The 11,330-nt window shown below is 52.2% G+C and overlaps 1 protein-coding gene across 4 annotated transcripts, besides 4 other annotated features; it reads right to left on the bottom strand.

Annotated features, from left to right (window-relative positions):
• Window positions 13–513: an enhancer, noted in NCBI's record as "H3K27ac hESC enhancer chr14:24640701-24641201 (GRCh37/hg19 assembly coordinates)". NCBI's record gives its function as "activates a minimal SCP1, AML or CMV promoter by ChIP-STARR-seq in naive H9 embryonic stem cells {active_cell/tissue: H9 hESC(naive)}" and the evidence as "EXISTENCE:reporter gene assay evidence [ECO:0000049][PMID:30033119]".
• Window positions 115–164: a silencer, noted in NCBI's record as "silent region_5629". NCBI's record gives its function as "represses an Ori minimal core promoter by ATAC-STARR-seq in GM12878 lymphoblastoid cells {active_cell/tissue: GM12878}" and the evidence as "EXISTENCE:reporter gene assay evidence [ECO:0000049][PMID:35858748]".
• IRF9 (interferon regulatory factor 9) lies at window positions 5,440–10,740 on the bottom strand. Of its 4 annotated transcripts, NM_001385400.1 has the most exons (10): window positions 10,667–10,740; window positions 9,681–9,861; window positions 8,856–9,039; window positions 8,497–8,627; window positions 8,046–8,127; window positions 7,871–7,942; window positions 7,050–7,418; window positions 6,822–6,948; window positions 6,043–6,158; window positions 5,440–5,883 (listed from the first exon to the last, which is right to left on the bottom strand). In NM_001385400.1, the coding sequence occupies exons 2-10, from the start codon at window positions 9,858–9,860 to the stop codon at window positions 5,750–5,752; spliced, it is 1,395 nt and encodes a 464-aa protein (NP_001372329.1). In that variant the 5' UTR covers window position 9,861; window positions 10,667–10,740; the 3' UTR covers window positions 5,440–5,749. The 4 variants fall into 4 exon arrangements, with proteins under 4 accessions (NP_001372329.1, NP_001372330.1, NP_006075.3 ...); NM_001385401.1 differs by lacking the exon at window positions 6,822–6,948; NM_006084.5 differs by lacking the exon at window positions 6,822–6,948 and having other exon boundaries at window positions 7,050–7,391.
• Window positions 9,575–9,634: an enhancer, noted in NCBI's record as "active region_8192". NCBI's record gives its function as "activates an Ori minimal core promoter by ATAC-STARR-seq in GM12878 lymphoblastoid cells {active_cell/tissue: GM12878}" and the evidence as "EXISTENCE:reporter gene assay evidence [ECO:0000049][PMID:35858748]".
• Window positions 10,624–11,013: an enhancer, noted in NCBI's record as "active region_8191". NCBI's record gives its function as "activates an Ori minimal core promoter by ATAC-STARR-seq in GM12878 lymphoblastoid cells {active_cell/tissue: GM12878}" and the evidence as "EXISTENCE:reporter gene assay evidence [ECO:0000049][PMID:35858748]".

Below are 11,330 nucleotides of genomic sequence, written 5' to 3'. Positions count from 1 at the left end.
CCAATGGGGAACGGGGGTCGGGTCGGGAACGCCAAGTATCCTGGCAACAGGGTCTCCCGAGGCAGCCAGCAAACCAATCATAAGGATTTTGCGCGCCGCTGGGGTCCATTGTGAGGTGTTCCGACCAATGGGCTCCGGTTCTCGCCTCTAGTAACAGGCGCCCCTTCCTTGACCAATGAGCGCATCCCCGTCGCTCCCCCGCCGCTCCCCCGCCGCAAGCCTGGCAACAAGGGCGCCTCAATTGGTAGGGGAGGTCGGGTCACCTCGGGGGCAACTGTACTGGGCCTCTTCCGGGTGCCAAGATGTACCTTGCACGGCGCCTGACCTGAGGTTAGACCCCGCCCTTCCCCCAATCCACAAACTCCGACTTTGTTTCCAACTAGGGCGTGTCGTGTGCTGCAGAGGAAGAAAGATGTGAGATGAGGCCGGGCGCAGTGGCTCACGCCTGTAATCCTAGCACTTTGGGAGGCCGAGGCGGGCGGATCATGAGGTTAGGAGTTCGAGTCCAGCCTGACCAATATGGTGAAACCCCGTCTCTATTAAAAATGCAAAAGTTAGCTGGGCGTGGTGGCACGCGCCTGTAATCCCAGCTACTCAGGAGGCTGAGGCAGGAGAATGCTTGAACCTGGGAGGCGGAGGTTGCAGTGAGCCGAGATCATGCAGCTCCACTCCAACCTGGGCAAGGGAGCAAGACTCCGTCTCAAAAAAAAAAAAAAAAAAAAAGGCTGTGAGATGATGGCCTTGGAGCCACCACAGGTCAATGAGGAAGAAGTCCATTTTTTTTTTTTTTGATGGCCTTGGAGCCACCACAGGTCAATGAGGAAGAAGTCCATTTTTTTTTTTTTTTTTTGAGATGGAGGCTCTCACTGTTGCCCAGGCTGGAATGCAGTGGCGCTATCTCGGCAATCTCGGCTCACTGCATCCTCTGCCCCCCATCCCCTCAGGTTCAAGCGATTCTCGTGTCTTGGCCTCCTGAGTAGCTGGGATTACAGGCGCCCTCCATCACACCCAACTAATTTTTGCATTTTTAGAAGAGACGGGATTTCACTATGTTGGCCAGGCTGGTTTCTTTTTTTTTTGAGATGGAGTTTCACTCTGTCACCCAGGCTGGAGTGCAGTGGCGCAGTCTCAGCTCATTGCAGCCTCCGCCTCCCCGGTGCAGGGGATTCTCCTGCCTCAGGCTCCCGAGTAGCTGGGATTACAGGCGCCCACCACCACACCTGGCTAAATTTTGTATTTTTTAGTAGAGACAGGGGTTTCACCATGTTGGCCAGGCTGGTCTCGAACTCCTGACCTCAGGTGATCCGCCCGCCTTGGCCTCCCAAAGTGCTGGGATTACAGGCGTGAGCCACTGCCCCCAGCTGAAGAAGTCAATCTTACACGAAACTCCGAAAGGACTTACTGGGGTCACTTCCTAAATCTGAACAACTTAGGTTATGGGCACGCCACGTGTGGTCCTTTCCCAGCTGTCAGTGTTCTCCCGGCTGAAATAGACTTTAGCATTTTTGGATGCAGCACAACTTCCTAGCCTGGAAAAGCCATATTCTCAACAATTATTGTGTAAATTTAAGAGGTACAGTTGTAATAATAACCCTTGTCCCTATGCCTCCTACCTTTGCACAGCCATTTCTTTGGCCTAGAATGTCCTTCTCTGCCTTGACTCCAGAGCATGCTTCTTCCTGAGACTTATATCTTACTGCAGCTGAGCTGACCCTATCTTCTTACAGTCCCCTTCAATTTGAGAGTTTTTTTTTTTTTTTTTTTTTTTTTTTTCTGAGATGGAATTTTGCTTGTCGCCCAGGCTGGAGTGCAATGGACCATCTTGGCTCAGTGCAACCTCCGCCTCCTGGGTTCAAGCAATTCTCCTACCTAAGCCTCCTGAGTAGCTGGGACTACAGGCATGTGCCACTATGCCTGGCTAATTTTTTTGTATTTTTAGTAGAGACAGGGTTTCAACCATGTTGGCCAGGCTGGTCTCAAACTCCTGACCTCAGGTGACACCCGCCTCGGCCTCTCAAATTACATGCCTATAGTCACAGCTACTCAGAAGGCTGAGACAGGAGGATCGATTGAGCCGAAGGTCGAGGCTGCAGTGAGCCATGATTGCACTGCTGTGCTCCAGCATGGGCGATTCTGTCAAAAAAAAAAAAAAAAAGAAAGAAAGAAAAAAAGAAATACATGAAGTGGCCGTAAGTGCTATGAAGAAAATGAGGCAGCATAGGAGGATAGAATAATGACGGCTGCTATTTAGGGAGGGTACTCAGGGAAGCCTTGCCCCCTCTCTTAAGAGATAAAATTTGAAGAATGTGGGTAAGTCATGTGCCTACCTGAAGGAAGAGTAATTTAGACAAAAGAACCAGCAAATGCAAAGACCCTGAGGTAGAAATGTGTTTGGTGGGTTCAAGGAGCCTGGAGCAAAGTGACAGGGGAAGAATGGCAAGGGGCGAGAGAGAGAGAGAGAGGAGGGTAGGGTCGCATCACAGGACCTCAGAGGTCCTTATGGGGATTTGGGCTTTTACCCTGGGTGATTTGGGACCCACTGGAAGGTTCTGAGCAGAGGAGTGACATGATCAGAATTACATGTGAAAAGAATCTCTACTGTGTTGAGAATAGCTTAAGGTAGACACGTGTGGAAACAGATGTGAAGGAAGCAGAGGAGGAGACATGAGAGATGGTGGTAGTTTGTTCCAAAGTGTTGCTGATGGGAACAGAGAGAAGTGGTCAGACCCTGGATACATATTGAAGGAATAGCGAGCGACAGGATTTGCTGATGAATTGGATGTGGGGTATGATAGAAAACGGAAGGAGGCCAGGTATAGTAGCTCACACCTGTAATCCCAGCACTTTAGGAGGTCAAGTAGTTGGGACTATAGGCACACACCACCACACCTGGCTTTTTTTTTTCCCCCACTTTTTTTTTTTGAGATGGAGTTTCGCTCTTGATGCCCAGGCTTGGAATGCAATGGCACGATCTTGGCTCACTGCAACCTCTGCCTCCTGGGTTCAAGTGATTCTCCTGCCTCAGCCTCCCAAGTAGCTGGGATTATAGGCATGTGCCACCATGCCCAGCTGATTTTTTTTATATTTTTAGTAGAGATGGGGTTTCACCATGTTGGTCAGGCTGGTCTCGAACTTCTGACCTCAAGTGATCCACCCACCTGGGCCTTCCAAAGTGCAAGGATTACAGGTGTGAGCCACCATGCCTGGCCTCACCTGGCTAATTTTTAAGAATTTTTGGGAGCCAGGTGCAGTGGCTCACGCCTGTAATCCCAGCACTTTGGGAAGCTGAGGTGGGCAGATCACCTGAAGTCAGGAGTTCGAGACCAGCCTAGCCAACATGGTGAAACCCTGTCTCTACTAAAAATACAAAAATTAGCCTGGCATAGCGGTGCGCACCTGTAATCCCAGATACTCAGAAGGCTGAGGCAGGAGGATCACTTGAACCCAGGAGGTGGAGGTTGCAGTGAGCCAAGATTGCACTACTGCACTCCAGCCTGGGCAACAGAGTGAGACTCTGTCTCAAAAAAAAAAAAAAGAATTTTTTGTAGAAGTAGGGTTTCACTATGTCACCCAGGCTAGTCTCAAACTCCTGGGCTAAGGCAGTCTTCTCACTTCGATCTCCCAAAGTGCCAGGATTACAGACATAAACCACCACGCCCAGCCGAAAAAAAAAATTTTTTTTTTTTGAGATGGAGTTTTGCTCTTTTTGCCCAGGCTCGAGTGCAGTGGTGCAATCTCGGCTCACTGCAACCTCCGCCTCCTGGGTTTAAGCGATTCTCCTGCCTCAGGCTCCCAAGTAGCTGGGATTACAGGTGTCCACCAACACGCCTGGCTAATTTTTTGCATTTTTAGTAGAGACGGGGTTTCACCATGTTGGCCAGGCTGGTCTCGAACTCCTGACGTCAGGTGATCCACCCACCTCGGCCTCTCAAATTACTGGGATTCCAGGTGTGAGCCACAATGCCCAGCCAAGTTTTTGTTTTTAATCAAAATAATTAAAATAAAATGGAAGTCAAGGAGATAATTTAGACCTTGTACAAAGAAGGTCCAGGAAGGATTTCATCACATTGCATCACATTGAGGGCACAACAGGGTTTGTACACCTCTGCATTCAGTACCTCATTTCTTCACTGCTAGTGCAGAGAATGTCTAGGTGCTTGGCTTCCCAGTGGGATGATGGACAAGACTGAAGGGAAGAAGGGAGGTCCATGGAGGCAGGGAGGCTCAAAGGCAGCACTGAAGCTTGTCAAATGAGGCAGCAAGAAGGTCCTAGGAAGACTTAGGCATCCAGATTTGATCATGTGTGTGAACCATTGAGGGCTGAAGGGTGAAATGACAGAAGGAAGTCTGGAAAGCTAAGCTGGTGTCATATGCAGGAAGAAGGAAGCTGAAGGCTGTGGCCTGGGTTGGAACTAGTTTGCTGGAAGTGAGTGTACAAAAAAGTAGGTGACAAGTGGCCTTGTGGTGAAGGAAAAACTTCCAGTTTCGTAGTAAAATGAACATGGGGGAAAGAAGAGTGTCAGCCAATTTGGAGCCCTCAAGTCTCATGAACAGCATGACATGGCAGTCTAGGCCGGAGTGCTTTTTTTTTTTTTCTTTTTTAATCTTGAGACAGAGTCTCGCTCTTGTTGCCCAGGCTGGAGTACAATAGCACGATCTTGGCTCACTGCAACCTCCGCCTCCCGGGTTCAAGCGATTCTCCTGCCTCAGCCTCCCAAGTAGCTGAGATTACAGGTGCCCGCCACCAGGCCTGGCTAATTTTTGTATTTTTAGAAGAGACGCTGTTTCACCGTGTTGGCCAGGCTGGTCTCGAACTCCTGATCTCAAGTGATCCACCCACCTTGGCCTCCCAAAGTGCTGGGATTATAGGTGTGAGCCACTGCGCCCAGCCGGCCAGAGTGTCTTTTATGGGGCTTAGATAGAGCAAGGAATCCAGTTTGGGAGTACCCTGCTGGGGTGACAGTGAAATTGTGCTGGAGGAAGAGGTGCCAGTAACAGCAGGTACAGTTTCAGCAACTCTTCTCTCTGACTCCTCTGTTCTCAGGTCCCAGGGCCTCTAGACCATAGTTTCAGGTCACCCTCAAGTGTCTCCTCTTCATTTAGACCTCCAATCTAACTAACCTCAGGCCCGATGTTGGGGCCTTCTAGCAAGAACTGTGGAGCCCAGACTTTACCATGTGAAGTTGGTGGCTATAGTGCCTGGCTGAAGGCTTGGTGCCCAACCCACACCCTAATCTTATCTGCCCAGAGGGTACCTCTGTAGAGTGCCAGGCCCAGGACCCACAGGGCCCAGGCAGCATCTTAGCCAGAACCTGTGGGCAGAGGAGAGGAAAGAGGCTGGAGATGTCAGCAGGAAGAGAACCCCAGTGCCCCACTCTTAAGTTTACATCTCTATCTGTGACCACTGCTACCTTCTTCTCCCAGAAAATCAGATACTGATTCCTCTTTCAATAAAATTTTATTTTAAGTCCTTAGTGAATATCTAAGAGGAAAATATAAAGTGCTTGGCTTTAGAGTTGGGAGGTCAGGGAAGAGGGAAAGGCCCCCTGGGTTCACACCATTTGGAATTTCCTAGTCCCTTACAGATGAAAGAGGGCGTATATCTCAAAATTAAAAAAAAAAAAGGATAAAAAATTAGCCTTGAGTTCTCCACCAGCCAGTGTGTGCGAGGATTTTCAGGACACGATTATCACGGACAACTACTGAGAATTATCACAAAGAGGACAGGTCAATCGTGTGAAGAATGAGTCTACTTCAAAGGAGACAGGAAGAACAAAGAGGTGAGGTGGAAGATGGGTCCCCCAGGCTCTACACCAGGGACAGAATGGCTGCCTGCTGCTCTGGAGTCTGCTCCAGCAAGTATCGGGCAAAGGCCTGCTCCATCTGTATTGGAAGAGATGGAGAAGAGCATCTCAGTGCGTGCATCAGGGACAGACACCACCCCCAGGAGCTCCTTCCCCACTGGGAGACCCCCTTTGCCTCCTGGAGCACCACTGTCTCTGCTCTCATTAGATGGGTACTCTACCCCTGCTCCGAGCTCACCTTCACTGTGATAAGATTCTGTGGAGTATGGCTGGAGCCATGGCTCTCTTCCCAGAAATTCAGTGTTACCTGGAACTTCGGTGGGGGGCCCAGGCCCTGAAAGTACCTGACCAAGTCTGAAAGAGAAAGGGTCAAGGGTTCGAAGAACAAAAAGAAGAGAGAGGGCCACAGGCAGGGAGGCAATAGTGAGGAACCCATGATGGAGAGAGGTAGGAGGGGGTCTTGCCAGAGCAGGAGCTGCAAGGTCAGAAGTACTTGGAACTAAGTGCTACTCACCCATGTGCAAATAGGAAAGGGTGCCCCTGCCTCATATAAGTGCTTAGAAGTAGCAGATCACAGCACAGCCCGACAAGCTCTCTGCTGGGAGAGTTTAGAGTCCTCCCAGGTAGCAGCCCTGGCTGCTAACTCAGATGTGCCCAGACCTTTGCTACTTGCTCACATCCTCCCAGTGCTAGGGCACCCATGGCCCTGGGAACACCCACACTCTGCACCCCCTGTACACCTGGTCCCACTCTTAAGGTCAGGTTTAGAATTGAGTAGGAGCTGGAATTGGATGGGAGAGAAGCGCAACCCTAAGGCATGCCTGGAGTGTGGTAAAGACGGTGCAGCCAGGGCCAGTGTGTGTGATGTGTGCCAGCTCTCCCAAATGTGTGTACGTAGGAGAAGGCCATGAGGCTCAAAATCTCTGTGCCAATTCTTCTGTGCACCTTCACATAGTGACTGCATGCTTCAGTGTGATGGTGTTCTCCAAGATATGACACTCTTGTGCTGGGCTCTACCTGAACCACCTCTTCCATTGTCTTGGCTGGAGGAGAGCTGCCAGGTAGCTGCCAGGCTGGGCATATGGCCACACAGGATATGCAACACACAAGCGCAGGAGTGCCATGCATAGGCTACATGGAGGATCTGCTGGCAGATAGGGAGGTAGCAGGACCCAACAAGTTGGGCCCAGGGGGTACTAAGAGGTAGGGGGTGGAAGCTCATGTGCCCAGAGAGAACAGCCTCACCTCTGCAGAAGTAGGCGGTTCTGAAGAGCTCCACGCACTCGTTGCTGGGCAGCAGATGCGGGCCTGGCCCAGGTGGAGCCTGGGGTGCATTCCAGGAGATGGGGATGGGGCAAAGGCGCTGCACGAAGAGGCCTCGGGGGTTGCTGGCCACTAGGATGCCCCTCTCAAGCTGGCTCAGCAGGCGCTGCGTGGGCTCCAGTGGGCCAGGCTTGGGGAACAGCACCTGCTCCATGCTGCTCTCAGAGCCTGAGGGCTCAGCCACAAGGCGGCAATCCAGGCTTTGCACCTGGGCCTCGCCCACCACGCGCCCGTTGTAGATGAAGGTGAGCAGCAGTGAGTAGTCTGGGGATAGAACAGCCCTACCTGGTGCTGGAGGAGCATGCAGGCTGGCAGCAGCCCCTCCCCAGGGGAACAACTCCACCTCCCCTCCCCACACCAGCCAGGGGGCTTCCTCTCAGGTTTTCCTATCACTGAGGCAAGTAGCTAGTATGTGATTCACCATGAGGCCTCAGGGCTCAATGCCCAGGGGCTTGTAGTTTACTAGAAGGTCCCTTGAGATTGGGCCTCTGTTTGGCCCAATGAAATCAATGTCTCAATGTAGATTTCCAGGAGAGTGTATAGGGTGGTATTTTTGGGAAGCAAGCTTTTTGGAGTCTGGCCAGGCATATGGAATTCTCGCCACCTAGAAACCACTGCCTAGGGCTATGGTAATGTGGGTACAGTTTGCTGTAAGCCCTGACTGACTAGATAATGCATGCATAGTCAAAGGTGGAAGACCTCAGGGGCACAGGGCACAGGAGAAAGTCAGAAATGCCACGTACCTGGCTCTGGAGGAAGCAGAAACTCCAGGGACCTCTGATCCCCTTGAAAGGGGGCCTCAGTTGTGTCTGTAACTGGAAGGGAAGCAAAGGCACTGGTCATTCAGAGTGGGACTGGGGAGTCTTGGGCCAGAGGGTGTGGCATGGGGGACGACACAAGAGGCAGGGCAGGTGGTACCTTCCTGTGGCTCAGGGCTGCTGCTGCTGCTGCTGCTCCCAATGTCTGAATGGACTGCTCCCCCACTGGCCCCCTCCTCCTCCTGCGGACACAGTGTCTTTTTATTTTTTTTCTCTTTTTTTGAGACAGAGTTTCACTCTTGTTGCCCAGGCTGGAGTGCAGTGGCGCGATCTCGGCTCACTGCTATCTCCGCCCCCCGGTTCAAGCGATTCTCCTGCCTCGGCCTCCTGAGTAGCTGGGATTACAGGCAGATGCCACAACGCACAGCTAATTTTTGTATTTTTAGTAGAGACGGGTTCTCACCATGTTGGTCGAGGCTGGTTTCGAACTTCTGACCTCACGTGATCTGCCAGCCTCGGCCTCCCAAGACACAGTGTCTTTCATTGGCCCACCTCTCCCTCTGGTTACTGTCCTGCCCTTAGGCCCACCCAGTTCCCTCTCCATCTCTTACATTATTGAGGGAGTCCTGGAGCACAGAGGGACTGAGTGTGCAGTTCTGCATGGCATCCTCTTCCTCCTTCCTCTCAGAGGACACAGAACTGTGCTGTCGCTTTGATGGTACTTTCTGAGTCCCTGGCTGGCCTGTGGAATTGTTGAGGGACAGAGAAAGGTCAGGGTCTTGAGCAAGGACAGAGGGTGAAGGAGAGGTCTGAGGCAGTGAAGGATGGGCAGGTCTAGGAAGGGAAACCTGGGTTGCAGCCCCCCAAGGGCATGGACAGGGCAGAGCTATAAGCCTGGGGGAAGCCTGCACATCTATCCTTCCTCCCCAGTCTGCTGAGTCTAGCAGTGGTTGGACAAGGGGAAACTCACCAGAGACGATTCCTGGTGGCAGCAACTGATACACCTTGTAGGGCTCAGCAACATCCATGCGGCCCCTCTCAGGAACCTCCTTAAATTCAGAACTCTTGTTGAGTGCACAGCGCAGGCGAGTCTTCCAGACAGCTGGACCTCCTGTGTCCCCCTCCTTATACTTTCCCTTAAATATTGCCCAGGCCTAGGAAAGAAAGCAAGGGAAGAAGAGGCAGTGTGTTACAGGCTCCACCTGCCCCTCCAATAGGACTGGCTTTACAGGCGTGCAGCTCTGAGCTCAGAAGGGATTATGCAGGGTCTGTGCTCTGCGTTGCCATCTTGAAATCCTTGGAAATTTTTTTTTTTTTTTTTTGAGACAGAGTCTCACTCTGTCACCAGGCTGGAGTGCAGTGGTGCGATCTCGACTCACTACAACTCCACCTCCCTGGTTCAAGCGATTCTCCTGCCTCAGTCTCCCGAGTAGCTGGGACTACAGGCATGCACCGCTAGGCCCAGCTAAGTTTTGTATTTTTAGTAGAGACAGGGTTTCACCATGTTGGCCAGGCTGGTCTTGATCTCTTGACCTCGTGATCCACCCACCTTGGCCTCCCGAAGTGCTGGGATTACAGGCGTGAGCCACCGTGCCTGGCCAATATCCCTAAAATTTTTGAACAAGGCCTCCACATTTTCATTTTGTACTGGACTCTGCAAATGATGCAGCTAGTTTTCCTCTCCAATCTGTCCCTTATCTGAAACCCAGGCAGACGCAAGTGCTCGAGGATGAGTGTACCAGTGTGTATACACCATCCCACACACAGAGGAACAGTGGTTTCCAGGCCCTTTCACCTTGAAGAAGGCAGCATCCTGGTCCTCCCGGAAGTCCTGCTTGCCTGCATGTTTCCAGGGAATCCGGAACATGGTCTTAGCTGTATCATCCCAGCACACTCCGGGAAACTGCCCACTCTCCACTTGCTCCACCACCCAGTTCCGGAGTTTTCGGGTGCAGCGTGCCCTGCCTGATGCCATCCTGGGGGATAATAGGAGCAGGATGCATCAGAACTGACACTTTGGGAGGGAACATCTCCTGAGACCCTGGCCATTGAGACTAGATTCTGGCAACAGGTCCCAGAGATCCCATCCATCTTCTTTTAGCTCCAAACACATTTCAACACTCTATGGGACAGAATTGTTTCCTTTCTGCCATCACTAGCAGTGACAAACAACAACAACAACAACAAAACCCCCCAAAACATTGTTTTTAGCACTCTAAGCTGTGATACCTGGAAGGAAACCTTGGGCACTGGTCTTAATTTTAGGACTTTTCAGAGATGTATTGTTTACAAAAGAATTCCTTTGGTGATCGTTCCTGGTGACAGGCCCTGTCTAGATTCCCGAGCATCAGCAGAGGTAGGTTCTGCTGAGATCCATCAGGCTCTTCACCCACCGCCCCACAGCCTACACAACCTAGCCTGACCCCCACCCCCTGCCGGCCCCAGGAGTAGGTGGGGCAGGAAGTAGGGGTGGGGTTGGAGCTGCAGCAGAAGTGGGCAGGGCCAGATGGCAAGGAAACAAATGGTCCACTGAGGCTGGGGCCAGGAGCCTTCTTCCTTGAACAATCCAGCAGTAGGTCCTCCTGACCTTTGCCTACAAGGGTCTGGGGAGCTGGCCCTTGTCAGTCTCACTCTCAGGCTGAATCTCCCACTTCCTGACTTAAGAGATCTTCTGTCTATCCCTCAGTCTAACAGAGCGACCCCTAGGACCCCCTGCCCTCAATCTGGCTGGACTTTCTAGCCCTAGATCCCAGGCTGACTCCCATCCTTGGCTGATCTTACCTGAGTTGCTGTCCAGGCTGTCGCAGGGCTCAGACGACCTCAGCTTAACTCCTGGCTGGGCGGCTGATCTCTCCGCCCCTTTCTACAGTCCCCACCCTAAGTTTCAGTTCTCCTCCAGGGAGGGCCTTTTCCCAGAAATCACGTGGTCTGAGTTGCAGGGAACTGGCGGCCACTAGAGGGCAGCAGCATCTGAGCATCTCACTATCAGGATGCCACTGTCGCAGCAGGGGGGCCCTGCCCTGCTGGCTCAGCTCCAGCCTGGCTCATTCCCCTGCCTCCCTCAGATACTCTTGCTTCTATCTGACCTCTGGGTGACACCGTGGCTTCCCCAGGGAGGCCAGTTTCCTGGAGTCAGGCCTGGGACCTCTGGACTGCTGTGTACACCTGTGCATCTGCATTCCCCCACAGTGCCCACCTGATACATATTGGGTGACTTCAAATACCAGTCAAATTCTATGAAAGGAAAAAAGGAGGCAGGGAGGGAGGAAGCCCAGGCCAGGCTGCTGGATGGGGAGGGCCTCCCTTGACCATCCAGGGTGTCAACTCCTTCCTGGTCCTGAGTCCAGGGAGGGTCAGGCACTAGGTTGCAGGGGGCCCTTTTCAGCAAAGCTCTGTTCACCCCGCTCTTTCCCTGGTGCCCCTAGATGGTGGCACCAGGAAGAAG

Source organism: Homo sapiens, chromosome 14, assembly GCF_000001405.40.
Source record: "Homo sapiens chromosome 14, GRCh38.p14 Primary Assembly".
NCBI lineage: Eukaryota > Metazoa > Chordata > Mammalia > Primates > Hominidae > Homo > Homo sapiens.
The sequence above is the reverse complement of the archived record's forward strand: the minus strand, read 5'-3'. Positions and strand labels throughout refer to the sequence as shown.

Bases quoted from the DNA above. Each gene is read 5' to 3' on its own strand.
- IRF9 (NM_001385400.1), bottom strand. From the start codon at position 9,860: ATGGCATCAGGCAGGGCACGCTGCACCCGAAAACTCCGGAACTGGGTG. The intron at 8,628-8,855 runs GTGAGTTTCCCC...ACAATTCCACAG, and splicing joins GCCACCAGGAATCGTCTCTG to GCCAGCCAGGGACTCAGAAA. The intron at 8,128-8,496 runs GTAAGAGATGGA...CTGTGTCCGCAG, and splicing joins TCCAGGACTCCCTCAATAAT to GAGGAGGAGGGGGCCAGTGG.